Consider the following 20,900-nt stretch of genomic DNA (forward strand, 5'->3'; position numbering starts at 1 on the left):
GGCGACCCTGCAGGCAGGCCCAGCAGATATCAACCATGCCGCCCTGCAGTCACTGGGTTTTCTGTTGCCACCAGAGCTGGCAATCCCAACCCACTCCTGACCTGCCTGACTAAACTGGGGCAGCAGACACCCTGAGGCTGGGTGGTGAAACTACCAGGCACACCAACTTGGCCAGACCAGGCTTGGGATGGCCTCTGCCCACATTGTCCTTGACCCTCTCTACTTCCAGTCATCTATCTTTTTAAAGAACCCTGACTTTCTGAGAATGATAGTGGAGATCAAAGTCTGGATGCCAAGGGTGATGCAGGATGATATTGAAAAAGCATGCGCTCTGGAATCAGGAGCACCTGAGTTCCAATTCCAGCTTTGATATTCACTAGCTGTGTGGCCTTGGGCAAGTCACTCCACTTCTCTGGGTCTCAGTTTTATCATCTGGCAATTGAAGATCACTATAGTACCTACCGAGACAATTTTTGACAGCATTAAATGAGCTAATACATAGAATATGCTAAACCCAGTGGTAAACTCAGTGCTTAGAAGCTATTGCTATTGTATAGTGTATGATATTATTATTACCTTGGGGCCGGATGGCTGGTGCACTACATGAGGACAATAGCAGCTGTTTTTTCAAGAAGCAAATGATAGACACTCTTGAGTCCTAATCCTTCTTGGTTCAGTGCTGACATTGGCCGGACCATGGCTAGACCATGACTAGACCATGGCCTAGGCACAGCCTCACCCCACAAGGATGGACTGCCCTTTGTTGACATTCAGAATTGGCTTCTAGCACCTTCTCCCTCTGTTTTGGGGTTTCCCAGTCTTCCTGCCAGTGTCCAATCCCCCTTCCACTGCCCTGGGGATATGTGAGAGGCCCCATCAGTCTGATGAGCTGAGCTCTGGACACCTCTATCCTACTCTTAAGGTGAGAAAGGACCAAGTAATAAGTGACCAACCCCTGGCTCCCGTGGCAGTGAATGCTTTAAGCTTGCTTTCACTGTTGCCCTCCTCAGACCCCGGGGGCTCCATGGGCAGCTTCAGGACCTAGGCAGGGTGGGCCTAGTGTTCTGCACATTTTACTCCCAGTTAGACCATTAAAGGTTTTTAAAGCATTTAGATCATTTAAAAATCATCTCACAGAAGGAGAGGAGATAAAGGAGCAGAAAGAATATTTGAAGAAATCATGGCTGAAAACTTTCCAAATCTGATGAAAAAATTTAAACAATACGTCCAAGCACTTCAACAGACTTTAAGCAGGATAAACATAAAGAGATCCACAAACAGACACAGTATAGTAAAACTGCTGAAAGCCAAAACAAGGAGCGAATAGAGCTACATAGGAGTAACATTTCTCTATCTCACTGGAATCAAGTTATAAATCTGAGGCATTCTGGTAAGACACAATGTATAAGATAAGCCCTAGAGCAACCCTAAAAAAATAACTCACAAAACATAGTGAAAAAAAATCATTAAAGAAATTAAAATGTTAGTTAGAAAATCAATGCAAAAGAAAGCAATTTATTGTGTTATTCTTTAGAAGGAATAGAGAAATAAAAAAGACATGAGTAATTTAGAAAGCAAATGGCAGTAAAATGGCAGACCTAAATCTACGTCAAAAAGAGCATTAAATGTGAATGGATTAAACAATCCAATCAAAAGGCAAGGATTTTCAGATTAGACAACAAAAAACAAGATCAACTATATGCTATCTACAGGAGATGCACTTTAAATTCAAATATATGAATAGGTTGGAAATAAAAGATAGGAAAATATCTGTCATGTAATCTGCAACTATTAGAAAGCTAGGTATACTAATATCAGACAAAATATACTTTAAAACAAAAAAAAAACAGTTACTAGAGAAAAAGAAGGACATTTTATAAGGATAAAATGATTAATCCATCAAGAAGATACAACAACTATAAACATAGGTGTACCTAATAATAGAACACTCAAATGAATGAAGCAAAAACTGACAGAATTGAAGAAAGAAATAGACAAACAATAATTTCTGGAGGCTTAAATATCCCCACTTAAAATAATAATAAAAGAACTGGGCAGAATATCAACAAAGCAGGAGGAGACATAGACATCACTATGAACCAACTAGACCTAACAGACATCTATAAAACACTCCACCAAACAACAGCAGAATACATTTCTCTCAAGTGCACACAAAACATTCTCCAGAATAACTCATAATGTTAGGTTCTGAAACAAACCACAATAAATTTAGAAGGGTTAATATAATATAAAATATCTTCTATGACCACAATGGAATAAGGTTAGAAATCACTAAAAGATGTGTGGGAAACACGCAAATATGTGGATATTAAACAACACACTCCTAAATAACCAGTGAGTCAAAGAGGAAATCACAAGGGAAATAAAAAAAAAAAATGCCCTGTGATAAATGAAAATAAGATACAATATACCAAAACTTATGGGATGGGGCTCAGAGGAAAATTCATAGCTGTAATTATCTACATTGAGAAAAGAAGGGGCCAGACACAATGGATCATGCCTGTAATCCCAGCACTTTTGGAGGCTGAGATGGGAGGATTGCTTGAGCCCAGGAGTTTGAGTCTGCAATGAGTTATGATCACAGCACCGCACTCCAGCCTCGGTGACAGAGTGGAATCCTGTCTCCATAAAAAGAGGAAGGATGAAAGGATAGAAGGAAGGAAGGAAAAGAAAAGAAGGATATAAAATCAGTATCTTAACCTTCCACCTGAAGAAACTAGAAAAAGAAGAGCAAACTAAATCTAAAGCAAGCTGATGGAAGGAAATAATAAATATTGAAGTGGAGAATTGAAAGCGAGCAAAGATACTTATAAACCCTCGATCACAGCAGCAGTATTCACAATAACCAAAAGGTGGAAGCAATCCAGTTGTCCATTGATGGGTGAACTGATTTAAAAATGTGGTATATACATACAATGGAATATTACTCAGCCTTAAAAAGGAATGAAATGGATACATGCTACAGTGTGGATGAAACTTGAGGAAATTATGCTAAGTGAACTGAGCCAATCACCAAAAGACAAACGCCATGTGATTCCACTTATATGAGGTATTTAGAGTAGTCAAATTCAGAGACAGAAGGTAAAATGGTGGTTGCTGGGGGGCAGGGAGGGAGAATTATTATGCAATGGGTACAGTATTTCAGTTTTGCAAGATAAATTTCAGTTTTGCAAGATAAATTTCAGTTTTGCAAGATAAATTTCAGTTTTGCAAGATAAATTTCAGTTTTGCAAGATAAAAAGAGCTCTGTGGCTGGAAGGTGGTGATGGTCATACAACGATGTGAATGTATTTAATGCCACGAACCGTAAGCTAAAAATGGTTAAGATGGTAAATTTTATGCCATATGTATTTTAAATATAATTTAAAAGTAAAGATGCAAGTGGAAATTAATGAGATAAATAATAGAAAAAAATAGAGAAAATCAGCTAAACCAAAAGTTTGTTCTTTGAAAAGTCCAAAATAATTGACAAAACTTTAGGTAGATTAAACAAGAAGAAAGAGAGGACTCAAATTGCAAGAATCAGAAATGAAAGAAGTAACATTATTAACGACCTTACAGAAATAAAAAGGATTATAAAAGAATACTATGGATAACTGTATGCCAACAAATTAGACAAATTAGATAAAATGGAAAAATGCCTAGGAAGATGCAAACTGTAGTAACTGAGTCAAAAAGAAATAAAAAAAAATCAGAATACTCTATAATGAGTAAAGAGTTCAGAGCAGTCATCAAAAATCTACCCACAAAAGAAAGCCCGGGCGCAGACGGCATCGCAGGTGAATTCTATCAAACATCTGGAAAATAATTACTGCTGATACTTTACAAACTCTTCCAGAAAATATAACAGGAAGGAACACTTCCTAACACACTATAACATGGATGAACCATGAAAATATTATGCTAAGTGAAAGAAGCCAGTCATAAAAGACCACATGTTACATGATTCTAGTTATATGAAATGTCCAGAATAGACAGATCTACAGAGAGAGAAATAGATGAGTGGTTATGGATGCGAGGGGATGGATGATCAAGAGGTGACATCTGGGCCAGGAGAGGTGGCTCATGCCTGTAATCCCAGCACTTTGGGAGGCTGAGGCAGGTGGATCACTTAGACCAGGAGTTTGAGACCAGCCTGGCCAACATGGTGAAACCCCATCTGTATTAAAAACAGAAAAATTAGCCGGGCATGATGGCAGCACCTGGATTCCCAGCTACTCGGGAGGCTGAGGCATGAGAATCACTTGAGCACAGGAGGTGGAGGTTGCAGTGAGCCAAGATGATGCCACTGCACTCCAGCCTGGGCAACAGAGCTAGACTCTGTCTCAAAAAAATAAAAAAAAGAGGTGATACCTAAGGAGTATGAAATTCCTTTTCAAGGTGATGACAATGTTCTCTGATTGAGGTGACAGCTGCACAACTCCAGGCATATACGAAAATCACTGAATTGTACACTTCAAATGGGAATTATATGGGAAGTGAATTGTATCTCATAAAGCTGTTCCCAAGAAAATCCTTCTACTTTTAAATATTATAGAAATTAGGTTCTAACACACTATTTCATTTGTGACACAGGTTTCTTTCTGTGGTTTATAAAAGCCCTGTCAACCCGTTCCTCCCTTCAGGGAGCCTTGCACTGAGCACCGCTGCGTGTGAGGTCCCTTGAGCTGGCGTGGTCAGATGGTGAGGAGCACAGAGATGAATCCAGCCCAGCACCTGCCCCTGGAGCTATGGCCAGGTGAGGGGTAGACAGCATCCAATCAGGTTCTAGCCTGCCCAAATACCTAGTGCCTTGCCAGATGGGTGCACTCTTCATAGTGACCCAAAGGAGAAAAAAATGCTAGCCAACATTTACTAAGCACTTCCTGTGTCCAGGCACTGTGCTAAGCACCTTCCATGCATAGTTTCACTATGTCCTCACAATACCCTGGGTGTCAGTGCTCTCCTTAGCCTCATGGGACAGGCGACGAAACTGATGCTGCGAGCCTCTGTCTGTCCTCCCACCACTCATGAAGGGAGGAAGAAGGTGCTTGGGCCTTCACGAGTCCAGGACAGAATCAAGTTTGGAATGGAGCCAGGAGAAGGCCTCAATCAGCTTGAGTGAGAAACTGAGGCCCCACAGACCATGCAGGTCTTAGCTTGGAGTGACAAGGAGCTTAAGGAGGCAAAGAATACAGAAATCCTGAGACTGGGGATCTCGTATACATTCTGCCCTCTCCACCTCCCCAAGACTGTAAAATGAGGCCTCTGCTCCTCCTTCTGCCGTAGAGTTAAGAGTCCAATATGAGATGATGATCTCTATGAAGGAAGATCCCACGTTAGCACTGTGCTGGAAGGTGCCAGGGACCTTCTGCCCCAGCATTTAGAAGAGCGCTGGCCCTGTCAGGAGAGAGGATGGTGCATGCATGTGCACATACACTCACACACACACACCACACACACACACACACACACACACACCCTCTGCTATCCCCGGGCCTCTGGCTCACATCCATTGCCTTTGGATATTGGTCACCCTGGGGGAGGCCCTGCCACCCTTCTCCAAAGCCCTTCTCCTGGTAGCATTCCCAGGCTACCAGCCCAGAGTAAGCATACCTCCTCGGGGCTCCAGAGCCCCTGTTGATGTCTGAGTGTCACCTGCCTGCCTGGATTAAAATCCCAGCTCTTCCATTGATAGCTCAATAATCCTGTGTGAGTCCCTTCCTCCCTCGAAGCATCTGTTTCCCCATGGAAAATGAGGCAAATAGAGCACTTAACACATAGAGTAGTTTCATTAAATGAAATACTGCTTGGAGAGCACTCAGCACAGTGCCTGTCTCCTTAACGGAGCTCAGTCTGGCTCTGCCCACTTCCCAGGCTGTAGGCAGGGGATGAGGGAGGGCTGCTGTGGATGGCTGTGTGCACATGAGCTGGGGGCCCCTGTGCTGGGGCTCAGCTGGACAAAGTGCAACAGGCTATGGACTGCACAGGCCATGAGCATGCCCTTAAGGACCAACTAGATCCTCAGTTGCCTGTTTGCCCCTCATTCTATCCAGAGAACCCCAGGGGGGCTGAGGGTACTCACTCTCTGCTGGGAGCCAATAGCCTCCTGCTTACTGTGTATATTGAGGGGGAGGACAGGACCCACTGGAGATGTGGGGTCTGCAGGAAAGTCGTCAGTGGGTCAGCTCCCACTATGTATGCAGAGTCTGGGATGGGGGCACACAGATCACCTGGGGACCTTGCTAAGATGCTGCTCTGAGAGCCTGCAATTGTAATAGCTCCCTGGAGGCACTGATGCATCTCTGCCAGGGCCGTACTCTAAGCGGCAAGAACCTGAAGCATGGTGTGGCCGTTTCTGAGCAGGGTTTGGGAATGTAATGAATGACAGCACATTTTGGCCTCCCACTGGTCCTGAAGGGACCCAGCCCCACCCAACCACACGTCAGTTTCCAACATCTGGAGGGGAACACTACATGCATTTCCAGAGTTTCCAGGATTCCATTTCCATTACAAACGTAAAATAAAAGTAATGCCACATTATAAAAAAAGTTGGAAAATAGGAAAAACTAATAGGAAAAAAAATCACTGATAATCTCATGCTGTACTTAAAATGACTACTACCCTCTTTTCCCAGGATCCCAAAACCATGTCTATCAGTGGGTCAGGGACCATCCTGTAGGTGGGCTGGCATGGTAGGCCCACTCTGTCATACTGAAGCATTGGATCAGGTGGGGGCCTCGATCTGCCCGACCCTCCCTTCTCACTCCAAGAAAGAGATGCTCCGCCCTGCAGTGCCTGAAGCCTTCCCCCAGCCCTATCCTGGGAGCACAGAGTGTGGGGCAGGGCCCCTCCCCTCTTCCCTCACAGGCTGAGGAGGCAGAGGTGGGGTTCAGGGGAGGGGGTGCACATCTGGATTCCTGGCCCAGAGCCTGCATTCCTTCCCCGTGAATGTGATGAGATGGGGCCTCCAGGGAGCTGTGAGGAGACTGCCCCCTCAGAACAGGCCCCACCTAGCAAAAAAGACTGGTGGAGACCCAAAGGCACAGAACCTCCTTTGGGGGCCCAGTTCGGGTCCAAAAATCCCCCACCCAGATTGCTGACCAACCAGCGTGGGCCCAAGATGGGCCTCTGTCCTGACCACACCAGCCAGCCTTGCCTCAGAAATCCCAGCAGGGACAAAAGGGTAGAGGCCAGAGGACCACGGGGCCACTCATTGGTGGAAGGGGCCCTGGGGACACTGCTTCGCCTGCCCTACCCACAGGAGCCTGTCCGCAGGTCAGTAGGGGAGCCCAAGAGCACCCCCTGGGCCAGGGCTGCCTTACCTGGGGGCAGTCCTTGATGTAGTGTCCTTTGTTGAAGCACAGGTGGCACAGGTAGTTGGGTGGGGGCCGCTTGCTGGGCTTGCGAGCCTCGGAGGTGAGGGTCAGGTCTGAGAAGTGCTCGGTGAGGGAGCTGAGGCCATCGGCGATGTTGTTGAGGGAGCCATAGGGTGAGGCGCCCTTGTACACACTGTTGCTCAGCGCCTGTGGGAGACAGAGGCACATATACTACAGCCTCTGCCTTGGGAGAAGTTCCATAACCCCCCACCCAAACACACGCATGGATTCACACTGAGTCTTCAGCTACCCGAGGGCTCTGGGCTCCAGAAGCCTGAGTTCAAATCCTAACTAGTGTGTCTCCATGGACAAGCCAGTTAACTACTCTGGGCCTCAGTGGCCCTATCTGCAAAATGGTCCTAGTAACAGCTCCTCCTAGGGTTTCTATGAGGCTAAAATGAGGTCATGAATGGAAAGTAGTTTATCTCATGCCTGGCACTTCAGAACCACTCAGTAAATGGCAATGATGTTGATGATGGCTATTATTATTATTACCATTAGTTCTTAACATACTGCCATGAGGTAAGAACATATAGTAGAAAGCAACCTGTCAGATTTGGGGCTCTGCCACTAACTGGTGGGGTGACTTTAGGAAAGTCACTGCTGACTCAGTTTCCCCACCTTGTAAGGAAAGGGAATGTCAGCTTGCGGCATTGCTCCCGCTTCACACTAGACAAGACTGAAGCCCAGCCCTTTGCCAGGTTTCCTGCAGCCCGAGGCTTGTGTAGTCTGTGTGTGGGGAGCCCTCAGCCTGGCCCTAAACCACCTCTCTGGAAGCCCAAGGAGGGAAGTGGTCCATCTCTCTCACCTCCAGATGACAGGAACCAGACATCTTGCTTAGCTTCAAAGCAGACGTGGCCCAGGCCCCCTCCTGGTATATACAGCCTCTATTTATAGGAGTCACGGGCTCCGGGCTGCCTTGCATACTGGAATTTAGCGAAGGTGGGGCTGGCAGGGAGCAGCCAGGGGTCCCCCTTTCCTGGAGCAAGGCCAAGGCTGAAAGAGGCGGCCTCCCCAGGAGGGTCAACAACAAATCTGGGCTTGGGGCTTAAGTATCTCCTGGCCCCAGCACAGGTGCCCAAGAACTGCAGGAATAAGCTGCGGACCTTGGGGGGCCTTGTGTCTGATGGGGAGACAAGGATTTGTTTTGGGGAGTTCCAGGCTGAAGGGGAAACAGGGCCTCTGAAAGGAAGGGCCTCAGGCTCCCTTACAAAGATGGGGCAGACAGAAGCCCAGGTTGGGGACAGTCCTTTCTGTGTTCCCTTAGCATAGGCAGGGGAGGGAGGCGAGCTGCAAGCTGGCCCCAGGGCACAGGGCACAGTCTTGCCTCCCCCAACTGAAGCAGATCCTACTTTGCACAAGTATGTGTCCCAGCCACCCAACTGTATCCATCTGCAGGCATCTGCCACTCCCCTCCTAGAGACATGGTCCTCATCATCTGGGTGCCACTGATGTTCTTGGTGCCTCAGGACACACGGCTGTGTGACCACAGCCCTTTCCTTCTGGGACTCTGTTCCGTCTCGTGTGCATCTGGATCAGAGCCTGGGATGCGGAAGGAAAGACACAGACACCACATCGGGGGCAGGCCAGCCCAGCACACAGTCACCTATAGTGACTGGGAAGGATTTCAATGGGTCCAACTGACTGTAACTTCTGTATCACTGCCTGGCCCGACCACCAAATCCAGGACCAGTGGAAGATTCCACATTGACCTGCGTTCAGCCTGATGGGCACTCCAGCTCTCAGATGAATCCAAGATGGAGCAGTCCACCTTGAGAAGCAGAGGGTCCCCCGTCCCTGGAGCTGTGGGAGCCAATGGGGGTCAACCTTCCACGGCATGGGGGAGAGTTCTGATAAAAACCACATCACAGGATAACAGTGACACAGACCAAGCTCTTACTGTGACCCCAGCACTGGAAATTTTACACGTATTCAGATAGCTGATTCTGCCCACAACTCTATGAGTCACTATCCCATTTTACAGATTACATGAGTGTGCCCCAACCTGTATTGAATGACCTGGGAAGCTTATAACAAACAGTTTTCTGGGCCCCACCTCAGACCTACCAAAGCAGCCACCTGGAATCGAGGGCCCGAAATCTGTATTTTTAGGTGTGCGGCAAAATATACACAACAAAATTGACCATTTCAATGATTTTTAAGTGTACAGTTGAGTGGCATTAAGAGCATTCATGCTGTTGTGCAGCCATCGCCACCGTCCAGCTCCAGAACTTTTTCATCTTCTCAAACTGAAACTCCATGCCCGTGAAACAACAACGCCCCCGCCTACTGCAGCCCAATCTGTATTTTTCAAGCTCCCCCAGGCAATTCAGGTACAACCAGCCCAGCCCCACCCAGCCTTGGAGCACCTGGACTTCCCAACCACCAGGGTCTCCCCTTATCTTGACTCGAAGACTTTCCCCACACCAGAAGGCCCCCTCCCCCTCCAAATCCGCCCCAGCCTCCCAGAGAAAAGTTCATCCAAACAAGAAACTTGAAGCCCCAAATGGTGTGACTCACCCTCATGGCTGGGAAACACAATTTCACAAATAACAACCCTCTTAATATTTTTTTCTTTTTCTTCCTTTCTTTCTTTCTTTTTTTTTTATTTTTATTTTTTTTCCCCTGGATAAGATTTAAGCAAGTCCACAGGAATCAGGCTGTTTGGCAGCAAATTGTCAAGAGGAAGGGGAAGTTTGGTGGGTGCCAGAAAGTGCACTAATTACACCCTGAAAAACCTCTCCCCCATCTTGCGGCCACAGTCCCCTGCCCACGGACGGCCCCACAGGCATCCCTGGGCAGCCAGAGGCCTCTAAGCGGGTGCCCTCTCCTTGGCAGCTCGACACCCCACCCTCTGGAGGGCCGCAGCCTTGCCCCTGCCCCAGGCAGCTCCACAGTGAGAGAAGTGAGGCCAGAGCTTCCCCTCCTCATGGCCTTCCCACCTCTAGTGCCCTCCAGCCTGTCTCCAGGGAATTAGGGCCCATCCCCCAGCCCTAATTCCAGACGAACGCTACCTTAGAGCCGAAAGGGTAGAGACCGTCAGCTGACCCTACCTCATTCCCACATGAAAGATGGGGAAACTGAGGCCCACAGGGGCACAGGGACGCAGACCAGGGTACCCAGCCAGGCCCCAGGGCCAGAAATCCTGCTTGGCTGGCCAGTGTGAAGGGTGGGTGAGGCAGTGAGCTGCTTCCTCTCTGAGGCCCCGTTTGAGCTCAGGCCAGGGAGGTGAAAGGCAAATCAGTCTCCTGGTTGTTTCCACAGCCTGTGGGGACTGGATGGAACAGAGGCCAGGACCCAGAGCTCTATCCCCCTCCTGCTCGGAGCTGGGGCTTGGCCTCTTGGGTTTCCCATCTGTACAGTGTAAAATGGAGCGGGGAAGGGGGAAGAAGGGTGACCTTGCTGATCCCTGTGGTCCTGCTTTCCTAGGGTCCAGACACCCGGGTCCTGAGAGACGCCCCTGGAGCCTGGCATGCAGAGGCCGACACAGGCACCATCTGTTCTGTGGCCTTCCTTCTGTGGCTGGAGTGCAAGGTGGCCCTAAAAGCCTTCATCTGTCAGCCCTAACCCTGCTCCTCTCACCATGCCCACCGCGCAGCTCTGCCTTTCTCCCTCCAGCCCACACTTGCTGCCTCAGCCTGGGAATGCCCTTCTCTATGTCCATCCAGAACCCCTCCAGGGCCTGGCTCCAGATCGGGCTCTAACTCCAGGGTTGTGGCCTTGACCTCATCCTTTCCCCTTACTCAGGCCTCAGGCTCCAAGGAAAAGCATGAAAAGCACAGATCCAGGTGCTCCTGAAGCACCCCCGGCCATAGAGGCCCCGACTCCCACCAGAGGCCTTGCTGACCTCTCCCACCCCAGCGTAGCCCAGTCAGCACTGCGGTTGGCAGGAGGGGGCGCAGGGATCATGGCGCAGCCCCGCCTGAGTGACCAATGGAGCTCTGAAGTCGCTCTCTAATCTCTCCCCGTGTGTGAGGCCTCCTCACCTCTCCCACAAGGCTGGACATCCCTGAAGACAAAGGTTCTGCAACCCTCCATTGCCCCACAGCCTGCCCTGGGTGCGATGGTCACCAGCAGGGAAGGGCCTGCCCAATTGACAGATAGGGTAACAGATGCCCTAGCGGTCTCATTTCCATGGGCCGAGTGGAGGGGCACTCCCACCTTAGATTAGGCTGCTCTGGGCACTGGTGCAGGGCAAAGCCACTTATGGGGTAAGTGGAAGCCCCTGGGCCATCTAGGCCCAGATCACCAGGCTTAGGGAAGAGGCCACCTCTCTTTCCTCCCTAGGTCAGTGACCCCAGCAGGTAGCAGGAAGGATGTGACCCTCACACCGCATCTGGGGGACCATGCATCACACTCCTGCCCAGTGCTGGAACTTCTCCAAGGTTTTTGCTTGGCTGTTGGGGAAAGGAAGGTGGGAAGACGTTATAGTTTACTTTTTTTTTGAGACAGGGTCTTACTGTTCTTACTCTGTCACCCAGGCTGGAGTGCAGTGGCACAATCACAGCTCACTGCAGCCTAGACTTCCTGGGCTCAGGTGATTCTCCCACCTCAGCCTCTCAAGTAGCTAAGACAACAGGTACATGGCACCACGGCTGGCTGATTTTTTGTATTTATTATTTGTAGAGATGAGGTTTCACCATGTTGCCCAGGCAGGTCTCAAACTCCTGGGCTCAAGGGATCTGCCTGCCTCAGCCTCCCAAAATGCTGGGATTACAGGCATGAGTCACCGTGCTCGGCCTGTGGTTTACTCTGATCATGCGGTGTGTCATATATTTGACTAAATCTTTTACCTTTCTTAGTCCCCTCTTACCTGGCAAGAATACTATTCAAATGGGCATTATTGGCCCCATTTTATAGAGCTAGAAACTGAGGCTCAGAGAGGCTGAGCGATTTGCCCAAGGTAACGCAGCCAGCACGTGTTGCCCTGTTATATTTCAGCCTCTACATGGCCTCCAAGGCTTGACCTCCCCTATAGGAAGGGGAGTCAGAGGAAAATGCCAGGTGCGGACCACTCTACTTGGCACAGAGGCCCTGTGACATCATATGCTAGGCCCCTCGGCCCTGGCAAGATGAAGGACCAGTGTCTCTGCGCTGCATGAGGGGTGCAGGCCCTGGGCATGGTGGTTCTGCTGCAGAATACGGGGTGCAGAGACAGAGATTTCCAAGGCTGACTCCAGTTCTCCCCGGAGCAAGCCTGACAAGAGGGACTTCTTCTCTTTTCTTCCTTCCCTGCAGGACAGTAGGTAGGCACAGCAGGTGAGGGGTAGCAGGAGTTAGGGCAGGAGGGTAGAAGCTGCAGAGGGCAGCCCAGAGGGAGAAGAGAGGGCACAGAAACAGGACAAGAGACAGATAGGAGAGGCAGTGACAGCAGGCAGGATGGGGAGCAGCATGTGCTGGGAAGGACATGGCCACAGTGAGACCATGGAAAAGGCAGCGTCTGGGCCAGGCTACCAGGCACGGCAGAAGCAAGGGCTGAGTCCTGCTCCCCAGGCCTGAGAAGGCCCCGGAGGAGGAACTCTGATTCGAGTCCCTAGCTCTGTAGGGGTTCCTTTCATCAGCTGAACAACCGCTTTCTTATCCCAAAGCCACCCCTACTCCACCCCACAGACACGCGCACACACACACGCACCCACACTCCTCTGTTTGGGACAAGAGATCATTCATCTCGCAAATGAATCCACCCTGCTCCCAAGGGGATCTGTACTTCCTCCACCCCAGGCATCTATCTGCGGCTGGTCAAACACATACATGTCCGATATATACAGAGGTGGACACCAGCCGGTCTCAGGGAGACAAGGAGATAGCCCGTGGGCAAGGCGGGAAGCGAGCCAATGGGAAAACATGGCCACACCTTGACTGAGGGTTTTCAGCTGTGCTCAGCCCCTGGCTCTGTTTGTTTCCCAGGTCTAAAGCTGACCCATGGGCCAGGACAGTGCTGGGCTGGCCACGACAGGCACAGCAACCCTTCACCCAGGACTCCAGAGGGCACCACTGCCTCCTGGAGGCCCATTCACCCAGCAAATGTAAAACACAGTTCCCTGGACACAGTCAGTGCTTAGCAAAAGATTCTTATTTAAATCACAAGTCTAGGTTATTTTTGGTGGGGGAGTGGGCAGAGAGAAATAGGGAAAGGACCCAGGAAAGGGGGAGCAGACAGTGCCAGCAGGACAAAGCAGAGGAGACCTGGGGAGATCCCTTTCCTCCTTGGTTCCAACAGCTCCAGCCCAGGGTCACCACTCACCTGACAGGTGCTCACGTTTCACAGCTATAAGCCCTCTGCCCAGCTAGTGTGTAAGCACTGGGGACCGGGCTGCCTCTTACTGCTAGAGCATATTTGTTGAATGAAAGCAGAGAGCAAGAATATGAGAATCCCAGGACTGGAAAGGACCCGCATATTTAGCTAGACTGTACTCTGTCTGGAGTACCACTGAGGCTTGCAGCCTCCATTGCAGGGATCCTTGATCTGTGATCCACTGTGGGCATGAAGGTGTGTGTGATCCCACTGAAATCACATGCAAACATGTGTATATGCATGTGCACGCATGCTTATGTTCTGTGCCTTGTGCTGGCAGCAGAAACTCTAGTTGTCTTCAGATTCTCAAAGAGGTCCCTAACCAAAGAAGGTCAAGGACCATTCATCAGCATACCCAAGCCTCTGCTGAAACACTTGTAGGGGACAAGGTTTCACTATCTCCCAAGTCAGCTCATTCCAATGAATCAAGAAATCGATACATATTTTTTTCTGTGAGACAAAACAAAAGGTGAAGAGGCTCAGGAGAGTACTTACATGCTCACAAGTCAGGAGGTGGAAGGGAGGAGGGGAGGTTACAATTCAAGACACCCACCCACGTAGAAAACATTAACTAAGCAGCTAGCATGTCCTGCACGCTAAGAACCAGATGCCAGGACTACTAAGTAGAAAAGACAAGATTCCTACTCTCAGGGTGCTGACAATCTAACTACTGAGACAGACACACATATTGCTATTACAGAACAAGACCAATCCTTCAGACATGCTTTACAAAAAATTAGCCAGGTGTGGTGGCAGGCGCCTGTAATCCCAGCTATTGGGGAGGCTGAGGCAGGAGAATCTCTTGAACCTGGGGGGAGGTGGAGGTTGCAGTGAGCAGAGATTGTGCCACTGCACTCCAACCTAGGTGACAGAGCCAGACTCCATCAAAAAAAAAAAAAAAAAGACATGCTTTACCAGAGCACCTACAACTCATCTTTCACAGGCTCACAGCAGCTGGAAAGAGGTCTGCTCCCAGTGGCAGCCAAGTAAAACCCCTCAGAGAAAGGACATCCATTTGTGTCATAAAGAAGCCAGTTGGAATGTGTCCATGTACAAGGGCAGGGAATGGCATTTTAGGTAGCAGCAATAGCAAGTGCAGGGGCTTAGAGGAGGGGGAGTGCTTGATGTTTTCAAAAACCCCAAGTAGACCAGTATGGCCAGAGGAGGGCTGAATAAAGAATCACATGCCACCACCACCACCACGACACACACACACACACACACAACAGATCTAGGACCTGAGACCTAGGCTGGAGTCTTGGTTCTGCCTCTGATTCCCTGAATGCATTGTCTTTCTTTAGAAGAGCCTTAGTTTCCCCATCCAGACAATGCGGATGCTGCACACAGACTAGGATATGGGTGCAGAAGCAGTAGAAAGTGCTCAGTGCCCATCTTCTCTCCTTCTCCTAAAGCAGGCCAGCCCTGGACTCATGCCCCCATGCTGGGTTGATGGGGAGTGGCTGGAACAGGGACATGGTAGGAAACCCAGTACTCATGACCAGTACTCAGCAATTCCAGAAAGTTTGAGGACCAGGGACAAAATGTCGGAGGCACTGAGGCTTGATAGGATGGCCCCGTCCAGACGGATTGCTGCCTGCCCTCACTGGGACCCAGAGGCTGATCCAGGGGAGAGCAAATCTGGGGACCAATTGCAGGACGGGTCGCAGATGCAACCCGTAGCTGGAACACAGAAGAATTCTAGATCTAGCTCTCCCACTGACTGGCTAGGTGACTTGCCAGGCCTCTGTGTCCTCTTCTGCAAAAAATGGAAGCTATGAGGAAAGAGAGGCCATGAATAGAGCACCACCCAAGAGCAGAGGACTGTTCCACTAGGGCCATCTCCTCCCGGAGCCCTCCTCTGGGTACTGACAGCATCTGGCTCCCTGCTGCTGCCACTTACTGATTACTAATGCTGTCTGCTTTCCTCCCTCCCACCTGACTCAGAAGGTCCACGAGGTGTGGTCTTCCCTCTGAGTCCATGCCTGTCCAGTCAACGTAATCTGACAGAGGGAGGGTCAGGTTGCCTCAGCCAACAGCTTCTCAAATGACGGTCCTCCTTGCCTGAGTCACACTTCAGCTTCCCAAGGGTGGCCAAGAGAGCTGGGAGCATCCTCCCGAACTCTGGGCTGGGATAGAATGGCCATTACTCTCAGGCCCTGGAGCTGCCCCCTAAACACACACACACACACACACACACACACACACACACACCACAAAGGCTGCTGGGAACCCACCTGAGCTCCTTAAGCCCACTCTCGAACATAGGCACCTCATATTCTTGGGCAGAAATGTGGCTTTGTTCCACACATCCACACTGGTCAGGCAGCCCGTGGGCTTATCTCCGTCTGTTGAGGGCACATCCAAACCCTCGGAAAACTGTCAAGACTGGGGCCTTTTAAAGGAGGACACTGTATGTACTCCTCTAAGGGTTTTAATGGCCATGTCCATACAGAAGGGCTGGGCCCAGGGAAAGGCCATTTGTTAAGCCTTGTGACACCCTTGCTACTGTTCTCAAACCTCCAATGGGTAGACCTGAGCAGCAAAGAGGAGGTTCATTGCTGCAGAGGCTGATGCTCTAGGAAGAGCTTCCTAAAGGTTGGAACTATCCAACAATGAAGAGGTTTTCCAGGAAGGACACTGACAGGTGTCCTGAGCCAAAAATGTTCTCTGCTCAAATAGGTGTGGGAACTGTCAAGCTGAAGAAAGGTTAACAGGTTTTGCACTGCAGGAGTTCTCAGGGCCTTTCCTGTGCTAGTGGGCACTGTGTGTTTCCAAGGGAAAGGAAGGACACTGTGTCTTCCAAATGTATTTGACCACAAAGTCCCTCCCCCAACATTCACAAAGTGGGGGTCTCTTGACAGTAGGGCCACACCTTCCAGCTACGTCTGTCCCTGGAGAAAGAGGGAAAGAGAACAGCTGCCCTAAGAATTCTACCTGAATGGAGTGAGACAGCCACATCTCCCTGGAGGCTGGAGGGTACAGGGACTACCTGGCAGGGGCTCTGGGCAGCCCTTCAAGGGGCCCAAGAGGCCATCTTCACAAGGAGGTAACTCAGCTTTTCCAGAAATGACTCCCATAGCCCCTTTACGGTTGTGAATTTAAGTTCCAAACAAGACTTGGCAGGGAAGACCCCATGCAGCCCAGCCCCTACTCCATCTAAGAACTGCCTTCCTTGGGTACCTGGAGAGAGAGAAGGGGCTCAGCCAAGGGCCTTAGGAATCCCTTTCCAAAAATGTATCGTTGTTGCCGTAGATCAGGTTTTTGAAACTGGGTTTCACGGGGCCTAGTTTGTAGACCCAGAAGCCTTTTAAGAAACTGTGCAAGGTGCTTGTGTCCGCTTTGGCCTGGCACCCTCACCACAAGCTGGGAAGTCCCCACAAGAATCCAAGTCACCTCCTGGTGCTTGCTCCTGCACCAGGAACTCTGGTGTGAACTCTGCCATCTCTCTCTCTGCTCTCAGGGCCAGTGTGCCACTCAGAACCGTTGGCTTATCTTCAGCTTCCAGAGCTGAGGTTCCAGGGGCACAATGGGCTTCTGTGCCCCCATGTCCTCACCCCCCCTCAAATCCCAGCTGCATTCATGGTGTTTTGCTATTGTGGTGGGAGCAGCCTGGGGGTGGTGCAGGAGGGGGTGGGCTCTTGGCACAGGGGTTGGCGCAGACAGGCCGTGGTCAGTGGTCAGCATGCAAGTCACATCCGCAGGCACTGCCACTGGGCCTGCCAGGCCTCGCACAGAATGGTGATGCTCCTGGGCCCCCTGGGTCCCTCCGTAGAGTCCCCTCCGGCCCACACACGACTTGCTTCCTCTCCGACCAGCCCCTTGGTGGCATTGGGGTGGGGGGTATTTTTTCTTGCCTTCTCAGCCAGTTGCTATTTTGGAGCCATATTAGGTCACCAGCTAAGCCCTGGGCGCAGGAAAGGCCTGTCCTCAGGAACACAGCTGAGGCTTTGAGAGGGTTTAGGAGGCAAAGTGGGTGGGGGGTGAGGATGAGTGAGCCTGAAGCCAAGAGAGCCTTCCGGAAGTCAGCAGGCACAGCCCTCCATCACCTCCGAGGAAGCCACTGGCCTGTGAACATCAGAGAAGCCCCTCTTGACTCCCCCAGCCCTCTCTTGTTTGAACAGGTCTCAAATACTATAGATATACCATCCTGGGGTGTAGCAGAGACTAAATTTAACAGATAGGTAAGCTAAGGCCCAGAGAGAGACGGGGTTCCCTGAAGTCAGGTTGTGAAAGACATTTCCCCACCACTGCACTATACAGTATAACCTTTTCCTGCTCCTTTCACACTGTGTGACTTTATGGGGAAACTGAGGTACGCAGCAATGAAGTGACAGAGGGCAGTTCTCACTGAGCTCCGGTTGGGATCCTGGATGCCAGAAATTTTCAAAAAGCAGCACAACATCCTATTCTTATAGGGTACTCTTGATGGTTCCAAACTCCCAGGTCCTCTCAGGGGAGACCCACAGGTGGGGAACAATGCCACCATGGTAGGGGGAGCAGAGGGAGGCTAGAAGAGGTTGATTAGGGGTCCACACTTGACCTGTGGGTCATGTTCACCCTTCTCCCAGGGTGAGAAACTCCCGTGGGGCTCCCACAAGCACCCCCATCAAATCACCCACCATTCATACCCTCTATCACCTTGTCTGTTTACTCATCCGTGGCCCCCACTAGCCTGTGGCTGTGAATCCCCGGGTCCTGCCCAGAGCTCAACAAATGTTTGGTAAGAGAACAAACAACTGAAAAGACGCATGCACCAAAGAAACACCCCACAAACGGTCCTCCAGTCACTGGTCACCTGAAGCCAATTCCCTGAAGAGGCAGAAAAGTCTCTTACAAGAAAGAAAGATCCCCAGCCAAGAACCATTCCTCACGTGGAGAGAATGCTTTACAGTTTACAAAGAGCTTTGGCATAGAAATGCTTTTGCCTGACACCAAAGGGTGCACTTTCAGACTCATCTTCCTCCTCTGCACCCAGCCCCCTCCCACGCCTGTTCTACCCACCCAGGTCAACAGGTCAGCCTGGGTAGTGTTGGCCTTGGGCCAGCATTTTATATGTCCATGCCTCCCCTAGTAAATAATGGCAGAGTTGAACTCAAGGGCGACCCTCTGCCTCCCTCTCTTACCCCCAGCACACCCTTGCGTACATAGGCTTTCCTCCCCAACCCATTCAGGACTCTGACTCTCCTAAAACTCACCGGTGTGCCCAGGTCTGGAAGGAAAGTGACCCCCATGTGTGTCCTCCCCCGAACACACCTCTTGCATCTTTGCAGAGAAAACCCCCACAAGGGGAGGAAGTGAAGGCCACAGATGGGTGTCTGAAATTCCCAAATGAGGCAGGAGTAAATGGAGGGAGGGGAGGAGTCCAGCCCACGGAAAGGAGTGGTATCTGGGCAGGCCCTGGAGACTCTTCAAAAAGGGCTGGGAGGTGGTGGCGATCTGTGTATTTATCTTGCTGGCAAAGAGGCGCTGCCCAGTCAACTTTGTAACTGAATCCACCAAACAGGCAGACTTTGCAACACAGCCGGCCCAGGTTTCTGCAGAAGGCGCTGGGCAGCTGGAACCTCTCCCCCCCCCTTTCTAGCCCCCCTCCCAAGAGCTCAAGAGGATTTCCCTTTCATTTCCTTCGAGGCTGGGAGGGCTGGGGACAGCGCAGTCTGTGGGGTCAAGCCCTCAGAAACCACTTCCTATGTGGCTGGGGGAGGGCGAGCAGCTGGAGGACGTATCTGGGGTCCCCGAGTGAGAACAGCAGGAGAAGCCCTCTGGGCAGTCACTGCTCTCCAGGGTGCCTTTCGGGTCGGGAACCGCAGAGGTCGGAGAAAAGATTTTAGGCCCTTCCAGAGGAGCTCCGAGCAGAATCTGCACTCTCGGTCCCAGCCCGCGGTGGCCAGGACGAGGATAAGGTTGGGCGTGAGAAGGACACTTCGAAGGGGCTCCCCGCCCAGGCCGCACCCCAGCTGTCTGAAGAAAATCCGGAGACAACCCCTCCTCAACTCCCTCCCCCAACCCCTTTGGAGCAGGGCTGCCCTGGCAGGGAGAGGGGGCGGGAGAGCTCCGCCCCGGCCTGCATTGCTCCAGCCCGGGCTCAGCCGGGAGGTGACGCGCACCCGGCACCCCGGGGACTTCGGGCGGCGAGTTTGGCAGAGTTGAACGAAGCCAAGCCAAGCCGGGCCCGGCAATGCGGAGCCGGGCCGCGCCAGGCCAGGAAGAGCGGGTCAGACAGGGAACGGCCCGCCACGGTGGGGCGGTGGGGCGGTGGGGCGGTGGGCGGGGGCGCGCGGGGGCACCCACCTCTCCGCGCTGCAGCTGGAAGAAGCTGTTGAGATAGCTGGAGTGCAGGGGCGAGCCCAGCTGCTCGGGGCGGCCCTTGCCGAAGGCCAGCTCCGGGGGTGCGGCGCCGGCGGTCGGCTCGGGCCGGAAGGCATCGAAGGCGCTAGCCTGGTGCGTGTCCTGCAGCGACAGGTAGACCCAGTTGAGCAGCTGGGCGGGCTGGTACACCGAGGCGGCGCTCGTGTCGATGGCCGACAGCAGGCTCATTTTGTGGCGGCGGTGCCGGCCCCTCCCCGGCCGCCCGCTCGCGGCCCCCCTCCGCAGCGGAGGGGCGGGCACCGGGGAGCCTGTGCCCACTGCCCGCCTCCCGAGCCCCGACGGTGATCGCCCCGCGCCCTGCGCCCCGCGCGCTGCCCGCAGCCGCTGCCGCTGCCGCCGCCTCCCCCCGACTGCGGCCCCGGCGCGCGCAGGCGGTGGAAGGAGGCAGCGAAAGTTGGGCAGGAAACTTTTGGCCCCGCCCCTCCGCCCCGCCCACTGCGTCCCGCCCCGCCCGGCGATCCGCTATCTGCCTCGCGGCTGACCCCTCCAGCGGCGGCTCCGGGGGTGGGGTCCACGATGCCCCGCCGCCCACTCCCTGCCCCGCCTGGCACTGTCCTCGCCCTGCATTGGCTGTCTCGTTGAATATGAACCGTCAGGGGTGGGGAGAGAGGGGAGTGAGGCTCATCTGCATATGCAGCACGGCGCGGGCCCGCCCATGCGAGGCCCCGCCCAAGCCCCACCTCGTCCCAGCCCGGCCAACCCAGCTCCCCGAGCTGCCGGGAGCTCAGTGCAGCCCCGGCCTAATCAATTTCGTCTCCCTCTGTCGTCAGCGCTCTTGTCTCGTTCTTTCCAAATCCTCTGCAATTGTTTTTCACTCACTTTTCCTTTCCTATTTTCCCTCCTTTCTCATACTCCTTCTT

General features: G+C 51.8%; 1 protein-coding gene across 2 annotated transcripts in view, besides 3 other annotated features; it reads right to left on the reverse strand.

The window, feature by feature from the left end:
- The window catches only part of ZCCHC24 (zinc finger CCHC-type containing 24), a 63,300-nt gene extending 42,908 nt beyond the window's left edge, over positions 1 to 20,392 (reverse strand). The window contains exons 1-2 of one of the 2 annotated variants that reach the window (NM_153367.4): positions 19,963 to 20,392; positions 7,326 to 7,526 (exon numbers count right to left, since the gene is read on the reverse strand). In NM_153367.4, coding sequence (NP_699198.2) covers positions 7,326 to 7,526; positions 19,963 to 20,208 — 447 coding nt within the window. In that variant the 5' untranslated portion in view covers positions 20,209 to 20,392. Of the gene's footprint in view, positions 1 to 7,325; positions 7,527 to 18,869; positions 18,992 to 19,962 lie in introns of those variants that run through there. The other variant, XM_011539452.4, reaches the window with a different exon arrangement.
- Positions 9,863 to 10,501: an enhancer, noted in NCBI's record as "H3K4me1 hESC enhancer chr10:81194851-81195489 (GRCh37/hg19 assembly coordinates)". NCBI's record gives its function as "activates a minimal SCP1, AML or CMV promoter by ChIP-STARR-seq in naive H9 embryonic stem cells {active_cell/tissue: H9 hESC(naive)}" and the evidence as "EXISTENCE:reporter gene assay evidence [ECO:0000049][PMID:30033119]".
- Positions 20,245 to 20,304: a silencer, noted in NCBI's record as "silent region_2541". NCBI's record gives its function as "represses an Ori minimal core promoter by ATAC-STARR-seq in GM12878 lymphoblastoid cells {active_cell/tissue: GM12878}" and the evidence as "EXISTENCE:reporter gene assay evidence [ECO:0000049][PMID:35858748]".
- Positions 20,315 to 20,824: a silencer, noted in NCBI's record as "silent region_2542". NCBI's record gives its function as "represses an Ori minimal core promoter by ATAC-STARR-seq in GM12878 lymphoblastoid cells {active_cell/tissue: GM12878}" and the evidence as "EXISTENCE:reporter gene assay evidence [ECO:0000049][PMID:35858748]".

The sequence above is a fragment of the Homo sapiens genome, chromosome 10 (genome assembly GCF_000001405.40).
Source record: "Homo sapiens chromosome 10, GRCh38.p14 Primary Assembly".
Taxonomy (NCBI): Eukaryota; Metazoa; Chordata; class Mammalia; order Primates; family Hominidae; genus Homo; species Homo sapiens.